At 43.2% G+C, this 23012-nt stretch overlaps 1 protein-coding gene across 9 annotated transcripts in view; it reads left to right on the top strand.

The window, feature by feature from the left end:
- The window catches only part of GNE (glucosamine (UDP-N-acetyl)-2-epimerase/N-acetylmannosamine kinase), a 62538-nt gene extending 39922 nt beyond the window's left edge, over positions 1-22616 (top strand). For 5 of the 9 annotated variants that reach the window (NM_001190388.2, NM_001128227.3, NM_001374798.1 and 2 more), the window contains 9 exons: positions 73-225; positions 2925-3137; positions 7949-8036; positions 9599-9809; positions 13555-13684; positions 14059-14280; positions 17037-17219; positions 18758-18874; positions 19457-22616. In NM_001190388.2, coding sequence (NP_001177317.2) covers positions 73-225; positions 2925-3137; positions 7949-8036; positions 9599-9809; positions 13555-13684; positions 14059-14280; positions 17037-17219; positions 18758-18874; positions 19457-19692 — 1553 coding nt within the window. In that variant the 3' untranslated portion in view covers positions 19693-22616. The remainder of the gene's footprint in view (positions 1-72; positions 226-2924; positions 3138-7948; positions 8037-9598; positions 9810-13554; positions 13685-14058; positions 14281-17036; positions 17220-18757; positions 18875-19456) is intronic. The other 4 variants (XM_005251334.5, NM_001190384.3, NM_001374797.1 and 1 more) reach the window with 2 other exon arrangements.

Raw genomic sequence — 23012 nt, 5'->3', positions numbered from 1 at the left:
TTCAGAATTTGCTTCTTTCTCTTTTAAGATTCTTAACTAATGAAGCAATGTGGTTTGATTTTCTTTAAACAGGTGATGATGTAAAATCTAAAGATTACATTGTTGCACTACAGCACCCTGTGACCACTGACATTAAGCATTCCATAAAAATGTTTGAATTAACATTGGATGCACTTATCTCATTTAACAAGCGGACCCTAGTCCTGTTTCCAAATATTGACGCAGGTAATTGAACTTGAAAATGAAATTATGCCACCTACTTTTCCCAATTTTATGTTTCTATTACTTCTTTTAACTGCCTTCCTATCTTGCTCATCTTATCATTGAAGGGCACTCTATTCTGAAATGCATTCCAATTTTCAAAGGATTACCAATTTTGCTATAACTCAAAAAGTTTGTAATGTTTTTGCCAAGTCCAGTAGAAACTTAATAATAAAAAGTCTGTCTACTGTCTACTTTAGTCTCATGTTTAGTACTAATATTTTCCCTCCAGTTTCCACCAGTTAAGAAACTGCAGAAGCCAAGAGACATAAATCTTAGAAGTTGAAGTGAAAGATGGTCGGGCACGGTGGCTCATGCCTGTAATCCCAGCACTTTGGGAGGCCGAGGCAGGCAGAACACTTGAGGTCAGGAGTTCGAGACCAGCCTGGCCAAGATGGTGAAACCCTGTCTCTGCTAAAATACAATAATTAGCCAGCCACAGTGGTGGGCACCTGTAGTCCCAGCTATTCAGGAGGCTGAGGCAGGAGAATCACTTGAACCTGGAAGGTGGAGGTTGCAGTGAGCCGAGATCATGCCACTGCACACTAGTCTCAGTGACAGAGTGAGACTCCATCTCAAAAAAAAAAAAGTTGAAGTGAAAGAATCTCTAGAAAAGTAGTGATTCCACTATCCACAGTAAAATAGCCACTAATATTTTTTCTTGCTTTCTTTCATATTTATGTTAGCTATACCTTAAAGTAATCTTGAGCTGAAGCAGTTTAAATCTGGAGTCCCCAGCCAGTCCCAACCGGTTCATCCTCAAGCCTGCCCTGGCTGATCACTTGCTTACCAGTGGATGGTACTATAGATTTTGGTACTGCTGAGACCTTAGGCGAGTTAATGGGGGTGTGAGATATTAATGAGAAATGTCAGAACATAGCCTAACACTGAAGAATTTCCAAACACTGGTTATCTTTAGCTGACACCACTCATTGTTGAGTTCTTAGGCTTTTTTTTGGTAAAGGAGGCAGAACCCATTCTCTGCAATGTCAAGATATCACCAACTTACTCTGAAAGAACCCCTGTCTTAGTATTCCCTTGAAGAATCTTTTCTGTTAGGGAGAACAAAGTAGGATATTAGTTGGAAAAAAATTTAAGAATACCCAACCCAGATTTTTTCCAGGTAATGTATCAATATTTCAAAAATGTTAATATTTATTCTTTTCTGACCTTTAAATTTTTTATAAATATGTGTAATGTAACTATGTATCATTCTCGTTCAGCATTCATTGTCAATGATATATTCTGTTTATAATACACTTTCCTGGCTGTATATACTTTAGAATTAGAGGTATTTTTTTTCTATGAAAGTAAAGGGTCCCAGGTATATCTAAGTCATGGCTGCCACTTGCCTCTACCCTCCACAGGGTTTTTGATAAGCTATACACAGGGAACAATAGGAAAATAAGAATCAAGGCATCACTTTATCATTATCTGGCTTAGTGCCCTGTTCCCCAGTACAGGACTCCCTCCGGAAAATGGATTATCGAAGCCTTAAGCCAAAGAGGGGCTTTCAACTGAATCGAAACCTGAATCTTGGAATAGTAGTGGTGCCTTCTGGTGTGCCATGTACTACAGTTTGAGTATCCCTAATCAAAAAATCTGGAATCTGAAATGCTCCAAAATCTCAAACTTTTTGAGCACCAATATGACGCTCAAAGGAAGCGTTTATTGGAGCAGTTGGATTTTGGATGTTCAGATTGGGGATGCTGATCTGGTAAGTATTACAGAATAACAAATATTTCAAAATCCAAAAAAACTTGAAACCCAAAATATTTCTGGTCCCAACCATGTCGAATAAGGGATGCTCAACCTGTACAATAATTACAGATGATGCTCTGGCAAGACTGTATATAGAGAGAAGTGGCCAGGCCTTCTCCAGGGAATTAGACCCTGAGTCCATTTACCTACCTTGCAACACAATAAAAGTTAAAAAAATTGAGAACCATGCATGCACAGCTTTGGTTAAATGAGTGGCACCTGCCCAGTGGTAAGCATGGTGTGGTCAGACCTCTGCCTTCTAACCAGTCAGGTTAGCAATTTTCCTCCCTAGGTATGGGGTAGTTAGGAGGGGGTCAGTTGAGAGGCAAGCAGAGGGACATTAAATATTGCCTCCCCTTCATGTATCTTTAAATTTTTATTAAGTCATGCAGTTAAAATAGAAGCCACAGTTATCAGAATCTATGTGTATTTTCTTGGAGTTTAGTTCATATAAATGGGAGTGCTATCCCACCGAGTTCTTGTTAGTGTAAAGGTGAGTGTAGCTGGGCAGAGGCTCTCTCATCAGCTTGGTGTGTGGAGCCTGAGAGGGTTCCATTTGGGAACTCTCAGGTTAAGAGATACAGGCTGTTGGCCTGTCTTTAGCCTCTTAATTGTTGTTTAAGGTAAAGGCTTTTACTAGGGCATTGATAAAAGTTATTTGCTTTGCCTAGTTCTGTTTGAAAAGTCCCAACTGCTGCTTTTTGAGTTCCTAGATGAGTGAAGCAGAGGACATTTTAGATATCCATCATTCATGAAAAAGCCAGTAGTTAAAATTACTATTTCCCTAATAACTGATGTGAGGTTTTTTTAGGGAGATTTCTTTACGTGGGCTATACTTGCCAATGAAAATGGTTTCTTTATCTCACAAACCATTTACCAATTGGTTCTTTTCATTTTCATAGGGAGCAAAGAGATGGTTCGAGTGATGCGGAAGAAGGGCATTGAGCATCATCCCAACTTTCGTGCAGTTAAACACGTCCCATTTGACCAGTTTATACAGTTGGTTGCCCATGCTGGCTGTATGATTGGGAACAGCAGCTGTGGGGTTCGAGAAGTTGGAGCTTTTGGAACACCTGTGATCAACCTGGGAACACGTCAGATTGGAAGAGAAACAGGTATTTACCTTTGCTCATACTTCAACTGACTAGGCTTTATACATACGTGAGTTGTTATAAGGTATGCATATATCAGTACTGAGCATATATTTTGTGAACAAGTGAGTGAATGAGGTTAATAACCAGTTGAAGCCTAAAATCTATAGTCGATAAATAGCACACAGTGATTACCAAATATTTTAGATCTCTACTTACATTTTATTGTCTTTGTAATATCAATTAGCACTAAGTGGTTCTTTCTTTTTTTTTTTTTGAGATGGAGTCTCGCTCTGTCGCCCAGGCTGGGGTGCAGTAGCGTGATCTCGGCTCACTGCAAGCTCCGCCTCCCAGGTTCACGCCATTCTCCTGCCTCAGGCTCCCAAGTAGCTGGGACTACAGGCGTCAGCCACCAAGCCCGGCTAATTTTTTGTATTTTTTAGTAGAGACGGGGTTTCACTTTGTTAGCCAGGATGGTCTCAATCTCCTGACCTCGTGATCCGCCCACCTCGGCCTCCCAAAGTGCTGGGATTACAGGCGTGAGCCACCGCGCCCAGCCTAAGTGGTTTTTAATTATGGTCTTTCATGGCTGTGTTTAAGAGAGAATGTGGTTGAATGTTTCATGAATATATGAATGCTAGTCTTTTATTTTCTGGGCCTAATGTAGAATCCCTTCAGTCAGTACTTTAGAGTATGGTAGTTCTAAGTAAAGTGCCCCTTAAGTATAAGTAGGATTATTATTAATGAATTTGCTAACTGAGCTAGGTCCTGTTATTAACATTAGTTCAAGTTCTAATCCTGTTTACATGCAGTGGAATTTAATGGAAGCTGTAATGGAAAAGTGTGTATCATTAAAGGAAAAAGAACTGGACTAGAACCAAGGAGATGAGTTCTAGCTCTGCTCTTTCTCCAGTTCTTCATAATTGCCACCTTTCTGTTATATTTAGATCTTCTTCCCTTCTCATTCCCAGCATATTACTTTACTCCCCACTTCATAGAGAAAATGGAAGCCATGAGATGGAAATTCTTTCAAATTCCTCAATTCATTTATTTAGAAAATATTTAGTAAACACCTACCATGTACTAGGCACTGGGATTTGGCAATAAACTAGACCAAGAAGAGCTGGGCTCTCGTGTAACTTACATTCTAGTGGGAGAGGAGATAGATGATAGACATACACAAAAGAAATAAGAAAAATATCAGGAATTCTATATGCTGTGCCTGCTGTAACACAAGGTATATGATGGACTCCATTAGATTGGTTAAAGGAAGGCCTCTTTAAGGAGATGACACCTAAGCTGAAATCTGAATGACAAGGAGTCAGCTATGTGAGGATCAGGGAGAGGCAGTGGCAACAGCCAGTGTGAGGGCCGGGAGGTGAACTTGGTGTATTTGAGAAATGGAAGCGCTATTGTGGCTGTAGAGTAGTGAGCAAGAGGCAGAGTGATACAGGTGATGTTAGAGAAGGAAACAGATGCATGTAAGCCAGGGTAAGTCATTTGGAATTTTTTCTAAGTGTAATGGGAAGGAATGACATGACAAGAGTTGCATTTTGGAAAGATCACTCCGGTTGCTAATATACAGAATGGAATGTCGGGAGGGGGGGCGGGGGGGCAAGAATAAAAGCAGGGAGACCAGTAAGGGGGCTGATTCAGTTGCTCAGATGAGAGATGATAGTGGCTTTGATGAAGTATTAGAGATGGAAAAAAGTTAGATTTGGGTCTTGTTATAGTACTTGCTGATGCTTGGATGCGGAGGTGAAAGGAATCAACAAGGAAGCCTAGATTTCTGATTGGGCAGTGATATGCTGGGAATGAGAAGGGAAGAAGATGTAAATATAACAGAAAGGTGGCAATTATGAAGAATTGGAGAAAGAGCAGAGCTAGAACTAATCTCCTTGGTTCTAGTCCAGTTCTTTTTCCTTTAATGATACACACTTTTCCATTACAGCCTAGATTTCTGATTGGGCAGCGATATGGGGACACTGAGGGAGGAACAGATTTGGGGAGGGATTGAATTAAGAGTTCTCTTATAGCTATGTGAAGTTTGAGATGCCTATTAGATATCAAAGCAGACATGGCTAGTAAACAGCTAGATAGTTCCAGGAAGAGTTAGAGTTGGAGATAGAAATTTGAGAGTCATTGGTATAGAGATGATGCATAATTGGTTGTCAGTTTGGCTGCTATAACAGAGACCCTAAATAATAGTGGCTGAAATAAGTTAAATGTTCTTTCTTTCTCAGTGGATGGCAGCTCCACAATCATCAGACTTAGCCCCCATCTATTTTCTTAGTGGTTGCTCTAGCTATTGCTTGCAAGTCTCTGTTTTAGCCTTTGGAAGAAGGAAAAGAGAAGATGCCTTTCACTTTAAAGGCAAGACCTGAAAGTTGCAAATCTTTCTTCTCACATCCATCAGAACTTAGTCACATGGCCACATCTGGCTGCAAGGCAAGCTGAAGAATATAGTCTTTTTTGTTTGTTTGTTTGTTTTGTTTTTGTCTGAAATGATACTGTTCTGTTGCTCAGGCTGGAGTGCAGTGGTGTATTCATAGCTCATCGTAACCTTGAATTCCTGGGCTCAAGTTATCCTCTCACTTTAGCCTCCTCAGCCATGCCTGGCTAATGTTTTTACAAAATGTTTTGTAGAGACAGGGTCTTGCTTTGTTGTCCAGGCTTGTCTTAAACTCCTGGTCTCAAGTGATCCTTCCTACCTTGGCCTCACAAAGTCCTGGAATTATGGATGTGAGCCATTGTGCCCAGTCTGTGTTTTGTTTGTTTTCTTTCCTTCTTTCTTTTCCTTCCTTCCTTCCTTCTTTCATTGTCTTTCTTTCTTTCTCTTTCTCTCTCTCTCTTTCTTTCTTTTTTTTTTTTTTTTTTAGTGAAGCAGTGCTGGGGGAGGAGGAACTGGTTGTGATCAATTAGTTGTAAACACCAGCCAGAATATAATCTTTGGCTGGGGATCAGATGCCTGGCTAAAAATTCTGTTTCTAGTATGAAGAAAAGATATTGAAGATAATGGCACCAGCCATAGATAGTATTTAAAACCCAGGCCAGGTGTGGTGGCTCAACACCTATAATCCCAGTGCTTTGGGAGGCCAAGGTGGGATGATTGCTTGAGGCTGGGAGTTCGACCCTAGCTTGGGTCAAGATAGTGATATTTTATCTCTGCAAAAAAATTTTAGCGTGAACCCAGGAGGCGGAACTTGCAGTGAGCCAAGATCGCGCCACTGCACTCCAGCCTGGGCAACAGAGCGAGACTCCGTCTCAAAAAAAAAAAAAAAAAGATAGTGATATTTTCTCTCTACAAAAAAATTTTAAAATTAGGTGGACCTGGTAGCATGCGCCTGTGGTCCTAGTTACTCAGGAGGCTGAGGCGGGAGGATCACTTGAGCCCAGGAGTTTGTTACAGTGAGCTATGATCGTGCCACTACACTCCAGCCAGGGTGACAGAGCAAGACTCCGTCTCAAAAAAAAAAAGACTTGTAAATAGGGCAGAGAATGGAGCCCAGGACCAACCTCTGGAGCCCTTCAATCTTTAGAGTTCTGGTGAAGAGGGAAGGGCCAGCAAGGAAGACTGAAGAGGAACACCAGTGAGGTTGGAGGGAAACAAGGAGAGTGTGCTATCTATAAAGCCCCCAAAATAAAATGTTTTAAGGATGGGGTGGTGGATACTGCTGAGTTCATTTAAGATGTGAAAGGACAGCCATGCACAGTGGCTCACGCCTGTAATCCTAGCACTTTGGGAGGCCAAGGCAGGTGGATCACTTGAGGTCAGGAGTTCAAGCCAGCCTGGCTAACATGGTGAAACGCCATCTCTAAAAATACAAAAATTAGCCAAGCGTGGTGGTACACGCCTGCAATCCCAGCTACTCAGGAGGCTGAGGCAGGAGAATCGTTTGAACCTGGGAGGTAGAGGTTGCAGTGAGCTGAGATTGTGCCACTGCACTTCAGCCTGGGCAACAGAGCAAGACTTTGTCTCAAAAAAAAAAAAGTGAAAGGAGAATTGAACCATATGCCAACATGGTCTCTGTACTTTTTGCCACTACACTTAAATAAACGTATATAAATGTGCATGCCCATCCATCCTTTCCTTCTTACCTTTTTTATAGCAGGGTGTGGGCATGGGTGTGGGTGTGGGTGTCTCTCCTGCCTGTCTACTGCCCATCCTTCTACCTGTGTTTTCAATCCCAACCACTCCTGCCTTCTCAGGGACCTATCCATGAGTGATCTTTTCTCATCCTTCTTTATTTAACCTCCTCATCATTTAAACATGCCTAAGCCTCTCACATCTTAAAAACAAACAACACAAAACAACTCCTTTCTTGACCCCACACCTCTCTCCAGATGTTACTCGTCCACTCTTCTCTTCTTAGCCAAACCCATTGAACAGTGTGGCCATTTTCGCTAGATTTACTCCCTCATATTGGTCAGGAAATGTCTGGAGGGAAAGTGACTGCCTGACCAGCCAAGTGAACCACTGGCTGAGTAGATGGAAGGCAGGGCAGGTTGAAAGAGAGTGAATCTCATAGATGACTAGGCAAATGGTAAGTGGATGCCAGGTTGGTCTACCTTATTTATTTTAATAAACAAAAACTTGATTTGTTCTCCTTGGGAATAAAGGACCCTAGGGCCCTTAAGTGTTTGATGTACTGAAATCTTGCCAAGAGTACTTTAAAAGGTATAAAGTAGAAAAGTTGAATTTTCCCTAACAAAAGACTTAACCTGAAGTCAGCTGGATTTCAGGTCTAATTATGAGCATAGTACACTGATAATTTCTTTATTCTTTGGATATTCCCACTTCCAAATCCTTGTAATGTGTCACTGGTTTTACCTAGGGGAGAATGTTCTTCATGTCCGGGATGCTGACACCCAAGACAAAATATTGCAAGCACTGCACCTTCAGTTTGGTAAACAGTACCCTTGGTGAGTATAAAACATTCTTTGTTGAGTGATTTAAAAGGGGAGCTACCTTCAGTACCATTTTAAAGCTACAATCACTGTTTAATCATCCTAACAGAGCTTTCCTTCTTATGCCTACGGGCCCCTAGTTGCTGGGGAGACAGGGATTGCTAATATCATACCCATTATTACTGTTCCAAAGGTTCCAATGTAGAATACATATTTTATTTCTTTTTTTTTTTTTTTTTTTTGAGATGGACTCTTGATCTGTTGCCCAGGATAGAGTGCAGTGGCGCCATCTCAGCTCACTGCAACCTCCGCCTCCTGGGTTCAAGCAATTCTCCTGTCTCAGCCTCCCAAGTAGCTGGGATTACAGGTGCGCACCACCACGCCTGGCTAATTTTTGTATTTTTAGTAGAGATGGGGTTTCACCATGTTGGGCAAGCTGGTCTCAAAACTCCTGACCTCAGGTGATCCGCCTGCCTCAGCCTCCCAAAGCGCTGGGATTACAGGTGTGAGTCACTGCGCCCAGCCTTATTTTATTTGTTTCTCTTAATTAATACAACACTTTTGCTACACTTATTTAACCTTCTTTGGCTTTCTATAAATATTAGAAAATAATGTAACTGATTTTTTTTAAAAAGTCTAGTTCAGCTTTTTAATTAATTTTGACCACCCTCCTTTCTGTTTCAAATCGATGAGATTTCCCTGTATTTGAATATTTCTTTCTGAAAATAATTTTGTTTTCTCAGAAATATAAAGATAAAAACTAAAAAAAGCAAAAAAATACAGGCACTTAGTTACAATGTTGCTGAAGAGATCTAGATATTATTTTATATAAAATTTTTTTAGTTCTGTATAATTATGATTTATAGTTTTTAACTTTTAATTGACAGATAAAATTGTATGTATTTATTGTGTACAACATGATGTTCTGAAGTATGTATATCTTGTGGAGATGTTATTTTATTTCTTTTTTGTTATTGTTGGTTGTTTTTTTTTTTTTTTTTTTGAGACGGAGTCTTGCTCTGTCATCCAGGCTGGAGTGCAGTGGTGCGATCTCGACTCACTGCAACCTCCGCTTCCCGGGTTCAAGCAGTTCTCCTGCCTCAACCTCCTGAGTAGCTGGGATTACAGGCACCCACAACGCCTGGCTAATTTTTGTGTTTTTAGTAGAGATGGGGTTTCACCGTGTTGGCCAGGCTGATCTTGAACTCCTGACTTCAGGTGATCCGCCAGCCTCGACCTCCCAAAGTGCTAGGATTACAGGTATGAGCCACTGCACCCAGCCTATTTATTTCTTTAAACATGATTTTTAAAATTACTTTTTGTAGAGATAGAGTTGCTATGTCTGTGTTGCCCAGGCTGGTCTCAAACTCTTGGGCTCAAGCAATCTTCCTGCCTCAGCCCCCCAAAGTGCTGGGATTACAGGTGTGAGCCACTGTGCACGGCAGGAAGATGTCACTTTAGGAAGAAGCATGAATTATTTTTACCTGAAGTCTCAGTTTCCATTACATTATACCCTCACTACCACTTAACATGTATGGCAGAAGCATATAATTTAATTGACTTTTTGTATATTGCAGTTCAAAGATATATGGGGATGGAAATGCTGTTCCAAGGATTTTGAAGTTTCTCAAATCTATCGATCTTCAAGAGCCACTGCAAAAGAAATTCTGCTTTCCTCCTGTGAAGGAGAATATCTCTCAAGATATTGACCATATTCTTGAAACTCTAAGTGCCTTGGCCGTTGATCTTGGCGGGACGAACCTCCGAGTTGCAATAGTCAGCATGAAGGTAAAATAACTCCTAAACTCCTAACTTTATATCCCATATGAGCGATTGATTTTTTTTTTAAGTATATATAGTTGGAAGGTAAGACTAGAAACATACACAAGAGCTTGTAATCATTTGCTGATAGTATTGACTTGTGGATCCTTTACAATGTTTGTCTCACTATTTTACTGATCATTAACATTTCAAAGAAGTAAATTCTTTGGGAATCCAAGACGGTAGACTTGACAGTGGGAAGACCCCTTTAGGCATCAGATCGGGCTTTTGCCACCCAAAAGACCTGAAATTCTATACTTGGTAACAGCTTGGAGTGTGGAGTATGCTGATTACTATCACTGCCCAGGTGAGGGGTATCAGCAAATGGTGAAGGGAGCTGCCTCTTCTCTAGAATGTGATCAGTTGTGTGGATTTTCCATTTTGCATTTTTACAGTTCTGCTCTTTATTGAGTACAGCATACCTTCAATCTGTTAACCAAACCATCACCCAGTGTTGACAGGTGAGAGAACATTCATAAAAATAACAAACTGTTCATGTTAAAGTGATCTCTAATGACTTAGAATAAACCTACTAGAAAAATCTTGGTTTGAAATAGTGTGAGTGTATAAAGCTTCCAGAGACGATGAGAAATAGCAAAGATTTTAAATGTAAAGTTGTAGGAAATTTATTAATACCATTAGGTCAAATAAGGAAAGCAAAACAAAACATAATTTTCTCAAGAAAAGCCAAGAGGCCTCCCTTATAAATACTCTTTTAAAAACTAATAGAAGGCTGGATGCAGTGGCTTACGCCTGTAATCCCAGCACTTTGGGAAGTCCAGGTGGGCAGATCACTTAAGGTCAGGAGTTTCAGACCAGCTTGGACAACATGGTGAAACCCTGTTTCTACTAAAAATACAAAAAAAAAAAAAAAATTAGCTGGGCATGGTGGCAGGCACCTGTAATCCCAGCTACTTGGGAGGCTGAGGCAGGAGAATCGCTTGAACCCAGGAGGTGGAGATTACAGTGAGCCAAGATCGCACCACTGCACTCCAGCCTGGGCAACAGAGTGAGACTCCATCTCAAAAAACAAAACAAAAACTAATAGAAGAATAGTTTCTTAACAGAAAGATGATTTATTCCATATGAAAGGCCAACATCTTTTTCAATGGTGAAATTCTAGAGGCATTCCCATTGAAATCAAGAAGAAAAGAAAGATGTTTTGTGCAGCATTATCTCACATAATTTTGGAAGTTATGAGGGAATAAAGGAAGGAATAGCAAAAATGGAGATTATTGATAGGGTAAAACAAAAAACATTATTAATAGACAAAAAAATGCTTGGCTCCCACCCTGGACTGGTTAAATTAGAGTCTCTGGGGATGGGGGCCAGGCATCGCTCTTCGTTAAAAGCTGTCCAGGTGATTCTGATGCACAGCGAAGATTGAGAAGCACTACTCTAGATTTTTTATTCTCTTAATTTAAAAAAATTTTTTTTTAGAGACAAGGTCTTCCTATGTTTCCCAGACTGGACTCAAGGTCCTGGGCTTAAATGGTCCTCTGCCTCAGCCTCCCAAGTATAATAGCTAGGACCACAGGCACATGCCACTGTGCCCAGCTCTAGATGTATTTTTGTTTTTTGAGACTGAGTCTTGCTCTGTCGCCCAGGCTGGAGTGCAGTGGCGTGATCTCGGCTCACTGCAACCTCTGCCTCCCGGGCTCAAGTGATTTTTGTGCTTCAGCCTCCTGAGTAGATGGGACTACAGGCTTATGCCAGCATGCCTGGCTAATTTTTGTATTTTTTGTAGAGACAGTGGTTCACCATGTTGCCCAGGCTGGTCTTGAACTCCTGGGCTCAAGGGATCTGCCAGCCTCGACCTCCCAAAGTGCTGGGATTACAGGTGTGAGCGACCGTGCCTGACCTAGATTTATTTTTAATGACAATCCTAGTGACAGCTCTAACCCTATATTTGAGATATAAAAATCCACTAATAACAAAATAATATAAATGGAAAGAGAGATCTTATTCAGAACAACAACAAAAACTCCTAAGAATAACTGAAACCAGGAACGATGTAATCTATATAAAGAAAATTCTAAAACTTTACTGTAAGACATAAAGTCTTGAAAAAAATGCCCTGGATGGAAGTGCTGATTATTTTTAAGATGTCAGTGTTTTCCCAATTTGATTTATAAGATCAACATAATCTAGTAAATATTTCAATGGTATTTGTTTTACATTTAGTAAAATTATTGTAAATCACAGTGGAATTTCTCAAAGTTTAACATTAAAAGTACAAAAGTCAGTTGTGCAAAGAAAAAAGATAAAGACAAGTAATCAGGAGGGACTATCCCTGTTTGGTATTAAAACATATCAAAAAGCACAGTAATGTGTTTTATTTTTTTGAGACAGGGTTTCACTCTGTCGCCCAGACTGGAGTGCAGTGGTATGATCTCGGCTTACTGCAACCTCTGCTTCCTGGGTTCAAGCGATTCTCCAGCCTCAGCCTCTCAAGTAGCTGAGACTACAGGCGTGTGCCACCACGCCCAGCTAATTTTTGTATTTTTTATAGAGATGGGATTTCCTCTTATTGCGCAGGCTGGTCTTGAACTCCTGAGGTCAAAGTGATCTACCTGCCTCGGCCTCTCAAAGTGCTGGGATTACAGGCGTGAGCCACCACGGCCGGCCATATAATAATTTAAACAATGTGGTATTTCTGCCAGCCAGGATGGAAATTTACCCTAAGGAAATAGAGTATCCAGACCATCACTGAATTCAGTTACAGGAGATGATTAAAGCTCAGCTACTTAGTTGCCTCAGTGTTTTTTTGTTTTTGTTTTTGAGAAAGGGTCTCACTCTGTTGCCCAGGCTGGAGTGCAGTGGCGTGATCTCAGCTCACCGCAGCCTGAACTTCCCAGGCTCAAGAAATCCTCCCAGCTTAGCCTCCCAAGTAGTTGGGACTACAGGCATGTGCCAACATGCCTGGCTAATTTTTTGTAGAGAGGAGGTCTCACTGTACCTCCCAGGCTGGTTTTAAACTCCTGGGCCCAAGCGATTCTCCCGCCTTGGCCTCCCAAAGTGCCGGGATTACAGGCGTGAGCCACTATGCCCGGTCACCTCAGTAAGCAAGAAAGTTTTGTCAACCTGAAAGAGTAAACTATGGTCTTTTAATGAACTAGGCTCAAATTAGCGAACATTGAACTTAAGCTTAAGAAAGGGGCCCGGCCGGGGGCAGTGGCTCACGCCTGTAATCCCAGCACTTTGGGAGGCCGAGGCAGGCGGATTGCTTGAGGTCAGGAGTTTGAGACCAGCCTGGGCAGCATGGTGAAACCCCATCTCTACTAAAAATACAAAAATTAGCCGGGCGTGGTGGCAGGCACCTGTAATCCCAGCTACCTGGGAAGCTGAGGAAGGAGAATCGCCTGAACCTGGGAGGTGGAGGTTGCAGTGAGCTGAGATCGCGCCATAGCGCTCCAGCCTGGGCAACAGAGCGAGAGGCCATCTCAAAAAAAAAAAAAAGAGAGGGGCCCATCTTGCTGCCTGTGGAGTTGTCATTGCTTCAACAGCCCCATATTAGGACAGATTACAGGAACTACTTGAGCTTACCCCAGGGCTGGCCCAGACCAGGCAGTGGGTCCTTCCCCAAGCAGTCATCTAAGACTGCGGGGCCATCCTATAGCAGTGTCTAATTTGTCATGAAAAAGATCACAACACTCACAATATGCTGCTTAGCTAAGACCAGTAAGACGGAACTTGTTGTTTTCTCTTTTAGGGTGAAATAGTTAAGAAGTATACTCAGTTCAATCCTAAAACCTATGAAGAGAGGATTAATTTAATCCTACAGATGTGTGTGGAAGCTGCAGCAGAAGCTGTAAAACTGAACTGCAGAATTTTGGGAGTAGGTAAGATTGTAAATTATAAATCCAAGAAATGCTCATTTTAATGTACAAAATTTACTAACTTGTGATGCATGCCTGAGCATCAAGTCAGTGTCTGCCCTGTGCATAGATGGCTCTAGGTGCTGTCTGTGGGCCCCAAGCATGGGGACTTCCTGGGACACCAACAAGCATTAGGAGAGAAGCACTGACAGTTCTAGAAATCTTTAAGGTGCTATGGCTTTAATTCACAACTGTCTAATATTTCCTTGCAGTCCTTGGTAACGTTTGTCTTAGGAGATCTGGGGTGAATGAATCTGTGTTCTTAAGACAAGAAAGTCAGCATACTTTCCTGAGATTGCTCATCAGCATTATTTCCTTGTGTTTGTGGTGGAGCGCAGGCATTTCCACAGGTGGCCGTGTAAATCCTCGGGAAGGAATTGTGCTGCATTCAACCAAACTGATCCAAGAGTGGAACTCTGTGGACCTTAGGACCCCCCTTTCTGACACTTTGCATCTCCCTGTGTGGGTAGACAATGATGGCAACTGTGCTGCCCTGGCGGAAAGGAAATTTGGCCAAGGAAAGGGACTGGAAAACTTTGTTACACTTATCACAGGCACAGGTAAGAGGGGTAGGGGGAGGTTGGTTCAGGAGCTAGAATGTATATTGGAGCATGTCTTCAACATGGTCAGGTGGTTACAACTCTGCCTTAGCCTTCACTTCCTGCATGACTAGAGCCTGAAGGTGAGCCACATGTGGCCTTTTCTGAGCATGTGCCCAGCCTTAGACATGCCTGTGGCCTTCTAAATTCCAGGAACTTGTCAGAGCTATTCAAAGCTCTTATTTCCCAGAGCTTCTCATTTCCCAGCTTTTCCTCCCAGTCTTTTTGGTTAGTGTGTTGGATGCCCCAGCTGTTATCCTTTGCCCTAGACAGCACAGACTAATACATTTTACCTTGAAATGTTTTTTTTTTTTTTTTTGAGACGGAGTCTCGCTCTGTCGCCCAGGCTGGAGTGCAGTGGCGGGATCTCGGCTCACTGCAAGCTCCGCCTCCTGGGTTCACGCCATTCTCCTGCCTCAGCCTCCCAAGTAGCTGGGACTACAGGCGCCCGCCACTACGCCCGGCTAATTTTTTGTATTTTTTAGTAGAGACGGGGTTTCACCGTTTTAGCCGGGATGGTCTCGATCTCCTGACCTCGTGATCCGCCCGCCTCGGCCTCCCAAAGTGCTGGGATTACAGGCGTGAGCCACCGCGCCCGGCCGAAATGTTTTTGATAAACATCCTTCATGTAACCCCCTCAGCACTAGGATAGTTCCTAGTTAGTTAAGATGAAAGCAGGCCCTTTGAGGTGGTCCTCCAGGGAGGTGACAGGCAGGTCAAAACAAACAACCACAATTTTTTGAAAATAAGTTCGTCCTGCCCCGTCAGGTACTGGTATCCAGTACTGTTTCTGTACACCAGTACTGGGAGTGTGGACTGTTGTTCAAGGTCACCACCAAGCTGGAGAGTGGGTGATGGGACCAGGGTAGGTTACAACACCAGAAAGTTCTCTTATCAAGATTCAGCTGGTTTTGTTTTGTTTTTAGACAGGGTCTCACCATGTTGCCCAGGCTGGTCTTAAACTGCTGGGCTCGAGGGATCCTCCTGCCTTGGTCTCCCAAAGTGCTGGGATTACAGGCATGACCCACTGCACCTGGCCCTGGTTTTTGTTTTTCTTTTTTAAATTAAGCATTCCTCTGTTTGTTGCAAACTTTGGTTAGTTTCCAGAGTTCCAAAAAGGTTGATTCTGACATTTTTACCAGTTTTTTCCTCACTTTAGTGGCAGAATGGACCTTTGGAGTTCCCTGCTCTGTCATTTTTTTATGACATCCCAATTTGTTACTTTTGTTTTTTTACTCTATTTTATTTTTGTTGTATATATTTTAAGTGTATAACTTGATTTTTAAATGAGGAAACAGACTTAGCTAATAAGCGGTTAAGCCAGCATCTGATACAGATATGTCTAACTTCAAAACTTGTATGTGCTTAAACTCTACATTACACCACTATCCCTTTAAGCTCATGTACTTATTTATTTATTTATTTAAAGAGTGAGTCTCACTCTGTCACCCAGGCTGGAGTGCAGTCGCACAATCTCAGCTCACTGCCTCCCAGATTCAAGTGATTCCCCTGCCTCAGCCTCCCAAATGGCTGAGATTACAGGAATGTGCCACCACACCCGGCTAATTTCTGTATTTTTAGTAGAGACAAGGTTTCACCACGTTGGTCAGGCTGGTCTTGAACTTCTGGCTTCAGGTGATCTGCCCGCCTCAGCCTCCCAAAGTGCTGGGATTACAGGGGTGAGCCACCACACCCAGCCTAAGCTCATGTACTTTAGCTCATGCTCATCCTCTTTTAGTTCCAGACACAGTTTTAGCAAACTTGGATACCATTTCCTGGCTCAGAGCAGTGACTAAGCTGTAAATCAGAGGGCTAGGGGTTGAGGAATAAGTGCCCAAGAAGTGACAGATGGCAAGACAACCCTTAAAAGCAGAGCCTTCTCAGGCACAATACCCTTTACTCCTTTGTAACTGCTAAACGCCATAACAAAAGACAGTCACTGATATTTATAATTATTGAATCACAGATTTTTAGACATGGCAGCATCAAAAAAGGCAAAATCATTATTTCATATTTTCTGCTTCAGGAAGCAGGTAGTGTGTGATACATTTTAAAAGACTTATCTTGGGTATTCCTCAGAGCAGAGCCTGAGACAAGGATTTAGGTACAGGTATGGTTTTTTGGAGGTGACCACAAGAAGCAGGAGGGTGAGTGGGAAGAATGAAACAGAGCAGGAAGAAAGCCATTAAGGATATATTAACATTATTGAAGTTGACTTGAGGGCAAAGGGGGCTGAACTCCACTAGCACCTCCTAAGAAGCCTGCAGAACAGCATCCAGAATTGTCCTGTGGATCTGCCGGCTCCTGCCTTGCCTCGGTTGCAGGTTGCCCCTGGGTGCTGTGCCTGCGTGGCTGAGTAGGCTCTTGCTTCAGTGTTAGAGAAAGCCTTGGTGCAGAAAGATGGACAGTGTGTGCTGGGCCAGGGGGTCTGCTACCCACAAGGTGGGCATGCATTTTTGCTGCACTGTCCCCACAGCTGTGTTTGAAATCACAGTGACCCAAGCAGATGGGTCACAGGGCATCAGAGGATCTGCTAAAAACATTTCCATCCAAAATGCTGCCAGAGAATGCTTTGATGCCTAGTGGGCTTCAGCTGTCTAAAGAAGTATCTATAGACCCTCACATGCCAAAGCTCTGCTAAATAGATGAGGCGTTGTGATATCATAGTTTTCTGTTTCAGGTAAAGCACCCTCAGTGATTTCTATCCCTCGCTGTAGGAATCGGTGGTGGAATTATCCATCAGCATGAATTGATCCACGGAAGCTCCTTCTGTGCTGCAGAACTGGGCCACCTTGTTGTGTCTCTGGATGGGCCTGATTGTTCCTGTGGAAGCCATGGGTGCATTGAAGCATACGCCTCTGGAATGGCCTTGCAGAGGGAGGCAAAAAAGCTCCATGATGGTTGGTGTCCCTCTCTCGAGGAATTAAGTAACCAAATAGTAGACAAGTACTTCAAAGTGGAAATTCCAAAGACAGCTGAACACTGAAGCCAGAAGTTTCCCCCTTTTCACTTCTTAGGGAAAGAGCAGGGCTCCCTCGCACTAAAACTGCACAGTCTTCTTGGCTGACCCATATTGCCACTCTTCCTCCCCAGGGGTGGTGGTGGACAGAGGTCTAGAGTTCCAAGACAGCAGGGAAGATTTCCTTCAGTTTTGTTTTCTCAGCCAGTATCACAGGGAGGGTACTTAATACACATTTTAATGAAGAAATAAATGGACAAAACATGTTATGTATATATCACACATACATGCACTGTATGTGTAGTATATCTGTGCTTCATACATAAAAACAGTGTAGATTTTTGGCCCCCAAAACCAATTTGTGAGCATATGCTGAAGGAAAAGAGATGGGGAGTGGAGGCCGAGAGTGCAGGAGAGAAGTGTATAGAGCCCTACAGTAGGGTTCTGAAGAGGTGGGAAGAGATGAGCTGCAAAGCCAGGCAGAGGGTCCACGAGAGGGCATGGCGAGCCGAGATGATGGGTGTATGGGACAGGAAGCAAAAAGGTAGGGGATCACTGCCTGGTGGTGCCCCCTATGAGAGAGGTAAGAAGTATGCTCGTCTGTTGGCAGTGGGGGTAGAAGGACTGGGAAGGTGGTGAAGGTATAGAAAAGCGCAGTCAGAGAGAATGGGTGAGAGCTGTGAGGGCCCAGGGGAGACAGGAGACCACCAGTTGATGTCTAGGTTGCAGTTTGCACAGCTGGGGATTTTTCTCCTTCAGGGTCCAGATATTCTAGCAGATTAGTAGGAGGCAGATTGATCTGAGTTGGTGACGGGCAGAAGACAAGGACTACAGATAACCACAGAAATACCTGCTGCTTACTGAGCATTTACTGTGGCCAGCACTTAACTAAATACTTTATGTCCATGATCTCATTCCGTTCCTCAAATAACCCTGCCAGGGGAGGCACTACTGGTCTCATCTTCTAGGAAGGAGGAATGTGTACAGGTGAGGTGACAGGCATGGGGTCATGCAGCTGGGAGTGGCAGAGCTGGCACTGACCCCAGGCCTGTGTCTGTTCCTCAGCCACTGTGCCTCGCTGCCATAGAACGCGTGGCGCTGGCAGATGGCACAGCATTGTGTCTGGGATGAGTAAGGAAGGAGTGAATGTGGGAGGAGGGTGATAATTTGGAGAAAAGAACACTTCAAAGACTGTCTGCTACTGGAAGTGAGAAGTGAGGGAGCCAGAGGGGTAGGAGGCTGTCGTCAGACTTGAGGTTTTTCCAGGAAGATAGGTTCTGGGTTATGTACAACCAATTAGCAAGAGGGTAGCAAAGGCTTTAGGGGCAGTGTATAGAGATGTTTGTGAACGATAAGCTTTGCAATTGTGAAAAGAAAACACCGTCTTCCCATGTAGGGGCTTGCTTTCCACAGGCCCAGTGGTGAGCTTGGCCTCCCCACAGCTCATTAGTGACTGCTTTTCCTTCTCACTCTGTTCAGAGGACCTGCTCTTGGTGGAAGGGATGTCAGTGCCAAAAGATGAGGCTGTGGGTGCGCTCCATCTCATCCAAGCTGCGAAACTTGGCAATGCGAAGGCCCAGAGCATCCTAAGAACAGGTGAGCATGTGGCTGCAGGTGGCTGTGCTGCAGGGGGTGGCCTCAGATATCATATGGCCCAGCCCGGCCCCAGAAGAGACCCTGCTTCCCTAGGGACAGGTGCTTTGCAGTGTCTGTTCAGAGGTTTCTTTCCTAATTACTCAGAGGTAAAAAGGGAATTGGATTCAAGGTATTTGGCAGCATTGCCTTTTTCAGCAGGTGGTTGGTTTGGTTTGACAACTATAAAAATGCTCCTTTCATTTTACAGGAAATTTAGAGAAATATAGGACAGTTGTAAGAAAAAATATCACTTAGTTTTCCCATTTGGAGGTATCAACTATTAACATTTCCTTCGAGTCTTTCTATTCATTTTTTTGCCTAGTGGAGATCATGTGGTACACCCGGCTTTTTCCACTTGAGGCTGTCACATGATCATTTTCTCATATTAAGAATCAACCGTGAACTGCTTTTAAAACACTGCCTCCCACTGCATGCCGTGGATGTTCTTTAACATTTCTGCTGCTGGCTCTTTTCTGCCTTCCTCTTTGGTATTTTGATTTTGGCTTCTCTCAGAAACTCATTTTAATTTTTGTCTCCCTATAGCTGGAACAGCTTTGGGTCTTGGGGTTGTGAACATCCTCCATACCATGAATCCCTCCCTTGTGATCCTCTCCGGAGTCCTGGCCAGTCACTATATCCACATTGTCAAAGACGTCATTCGCCAGCAGGCCTTGTCCTCCGTGCAGGACGTGGATGTGGTGGTTTCGGATTTGGTTGACCCCGCCCTGCTGGGTGCTGCCAGCATGGTTCTGGACTACACAACACGCAGGATCTACTAGACCTCCAGGAACAGACATGGACCTTCTCTCCAGAGCTCCTGAGTGGAATCAAGTTCTTGTCTTTAGGATGACCGTTTCTTAACAATCAAATCTGGTATTGAACTGCAGGTGACTTTGGCAGAGAAATGTTTTCACTTTTGGTCTCCTCTTCCAGAGTCACCTTTCCCCACTCCTATTTTTGTAGATGCTATTCTTTCTGATGTCTTCTTACTAGGGGTCATTTTAGCTCAAACCCTGTAAGTTACAGTCACAATTTTCTGTGCCAAAGCAGCTACAATAATAGAGAGGAAGCCTTCTTAGAACTCTGCTTACTAATGTATTAATACCACTGAGACCTTCAGGCCTTGCCTGGGATATCACTTCATCCTGAAGTTTGCATTAATAATCCTTCCAGGCCGGGCACAGTGGCTCACGCCTGTAATCCCAGCACTTTGGGAGGCCGAGGCGGGCGGATCACGAGGTCAGGAGATCGAGACCGCCCTGGCTAACATGGTGAAACATGGTGAAACCCCGTCTCTACTAAAAATACAAAAAATTAGCTGGGTGTGGTGGCGGGTCCCAGCTACTCGGGAGGCTGAGGCAGGAGAATGGCATGAACCAGGGAGGCGGAGCTGGCAGTGAACTGAGACCGCACCACTGCACTCCAGCCTGGGTGACAGAGCAAGACTCCATCTCAAAAATAATAATAATAAATAATAATAATAATAATAATAATAATAATAATCCTTCCAGCTGGGCGCAGTGGCTCACGCCTGTAATCCCAACATTTTGGGAGGCCGAGATGGGCGGATCACCTGAGGTCAGGAGTTCAAGACCAGCCTGGCCAACATGGTGAAACCCCATCTCTACTAAAATACAAAAATTAGCCGGGCGTGGTGGCATGTGCCTGTAGTCCCAGCTACTCGGGAGGCTGAGGCAGGAGAATTGCTTGAACCCGGGAGGCGGAGGTTGCAGTGAGCCGAGATCATGCCACTGCACTCCACCCTGGGTGACAGAGCGAGACTCCGTCTACACACACACACACACACACACACACATCCTTCCTCCTCTAACCCCAAACTAAGATCACAGAAGGTGATCCAGTCAGAGAACAGAGGGAAATCTTACCAGGAAGGGCTTAAGTACACTTTTTTTTAAAACAGCTTTATTGTTTTTAAAGCCTACAATTTGATAAGCCTTGACATATGTATACCTGTGAAAGCATCACCACAATCAAGACACTGGACATATCTATCACTCCCCCATCTCAGATATCCCCCCTAATCCTGGATACCATTTGTTGAAAGATGTTATTACTCTAGCTGAACTTACAAGAGACTTTAGACCAGGGATCTAAATTACAGTGGCCTTAGTGACCTTGTCCTTATCTTCTTAGGACAGCTGAGAAGCCACTGGGACTTAGAGCCTTTAAAAGGAGATTAACTGTCCCAAAAGGATCTTTGCTACTGACCAGCAGACACTTCTTCCTTCAGTAGCCTTTCATACTGTGTTGAGTAACACCCTAGGGTGTCCATTAAAGTTTTGAGTTTTACCTAGAGCCCAGAGCCATGAATCAGGATTCTGTCTACATGATTCGTGTTTTCATTGGTGTCAAAATACAAAAGCCAAAGTTCTGGCTATGAATTGTTAACTTGGAAGAAATACTAACTGCCACCACTTATTAAGTGCCTACTGTGTGCCAGGCTCTGAACTAGGTGCTTCATATACATTATCCTAAATTATCTCAACATATGAGGTAGGTGTTTTAATTTTTATTTTATAGAACTTGGTGTGTTTGACTGTTAAGCTATGGGGCTAGAGAGAGGGTTTGATCCCAGGTCCCTCTGTGCTTTTGCTGCTGAGCCACACAACCTCTCATTTCAAAAACACTTTCAAAATGCTAACATATTCTAATTCACTCTAGGCCACCAAAAACTTTAATACTAATATCTGATTTGTAAATGACTTAATGTATCCTTGACCCTATCAGCTGAATTTAATGAAATATTCCTCTCTGCTGTGAAATTTTACCAGTATAGTATTTGGTCTAGTGACAGGTGTTCTATTTTTTTGAGACGGGTCTCACTCTGTCACCCAGGCTGGAGTGCAGTGGCTCAATGCAACCTCTGCCCCCCAAGTTCAAGTGATTCTCCTGCCTCAGCCTCTTGAGTAGCTGGGATTACAGGCACATGCACCACGCCCGGCTGATTTTTTTTTGTATTTTTAGTAGACAGGGTTTCACCATGTTGGCCAGGCTGGTCTTGAACTCCTGACCTCAGGTGATCCGCCCGCCTCTGCCTCCCAAAGTGCTGGGATTACAGGTGTAAGCCATCACACCTGGCCCTAGTGACAGGTTTTTATGGGTACTTTTAGATGATCTAAGAAATCATGTGCATATATCTTTCAGATTTCTATTTTGGGAAAATGAAGGTTTCTACAACATATTGTTTCAGTGTTCAAATAAACTGAAGGACTCAACATTACATTTGAACTATATCCTTCCTAGTGGGTTAGTGTGAAAAAGAGTTTGGCTGATTCCTAAAACTCTGCCAGCCCTGCAGTAATCTCCAGGGCCTGGTTATTGTTCAGACATTCCATGGTGATTCCTGGGAAGGAAGCTTGGCTGCTCAGTTTCTGAGTCTGGGGTGAGATAATGTTCTGGGAAGGGACATCTGTTCTTTGGTGTAATCTCTCATGGTGAAATCTGCTCTGTACATCAGACAATTGCATTGCTACCAAGTTTCATACCAAATATTTGAAAGGATGGTATTGAATCTAAAACCAAATATTAGTTTTTATTAAACTCATGGGAAGGCTAATATATTCCAACGTAAATTATTACATATGGTTAAGTAATTGCATGTTAATTTATTTTAATGTAAATATTTTTGTTACTGTTCTGAGCCAAATTCTAAAGAAAAAATAAATACATTTCCTTGTTGAAATCCTGTTGTATTTTGTTTTGTTCGTAACTCATTAGCCAAAAGCATTTTCCTTCCCAGAAGAGATTTAATTGTTGCACTGCTTACGTTTTGAAGGTTATATAACTTCCTTAAGGCCTCTAATATCATTGCTTTCTTAACCAAAAAAAGTCTATTAATAGAAAGCATGGCTGGGCATGGTGCCTCATGCCTGTAATCCCAGCACTTTGGGAGGCTGAGGCAGAAAGATTGCTTGAACCCTAGAGTTCGAGACCAGCCTGGGCAACATGCCAAAACCCCATCTCTACAAAACAATACAAAAAAAATTAGCCAGGCATGGTGCAGTCTCAGCTACTCAGGAGGCTGAGGTGGGAGGATCACCTGAGCCCGGGAAGTGGAGGCTGCAGTAAGTTAGTTATG

This window comes from Homo sapiens, chromosome 9 (genome assembly GCF_000001405.40).
Source record: "Homo sapiens chromosome 9, GRCh38.p14 Primary Assembly".
NCBI lineage: Eukaryota > Metazoa > Chordata > Mammalia > Primates > Hominidae > Homo > Homo sapiens.
This window is presented reverse-complemented; position numbering and strand designations above follow the sequence as displayed.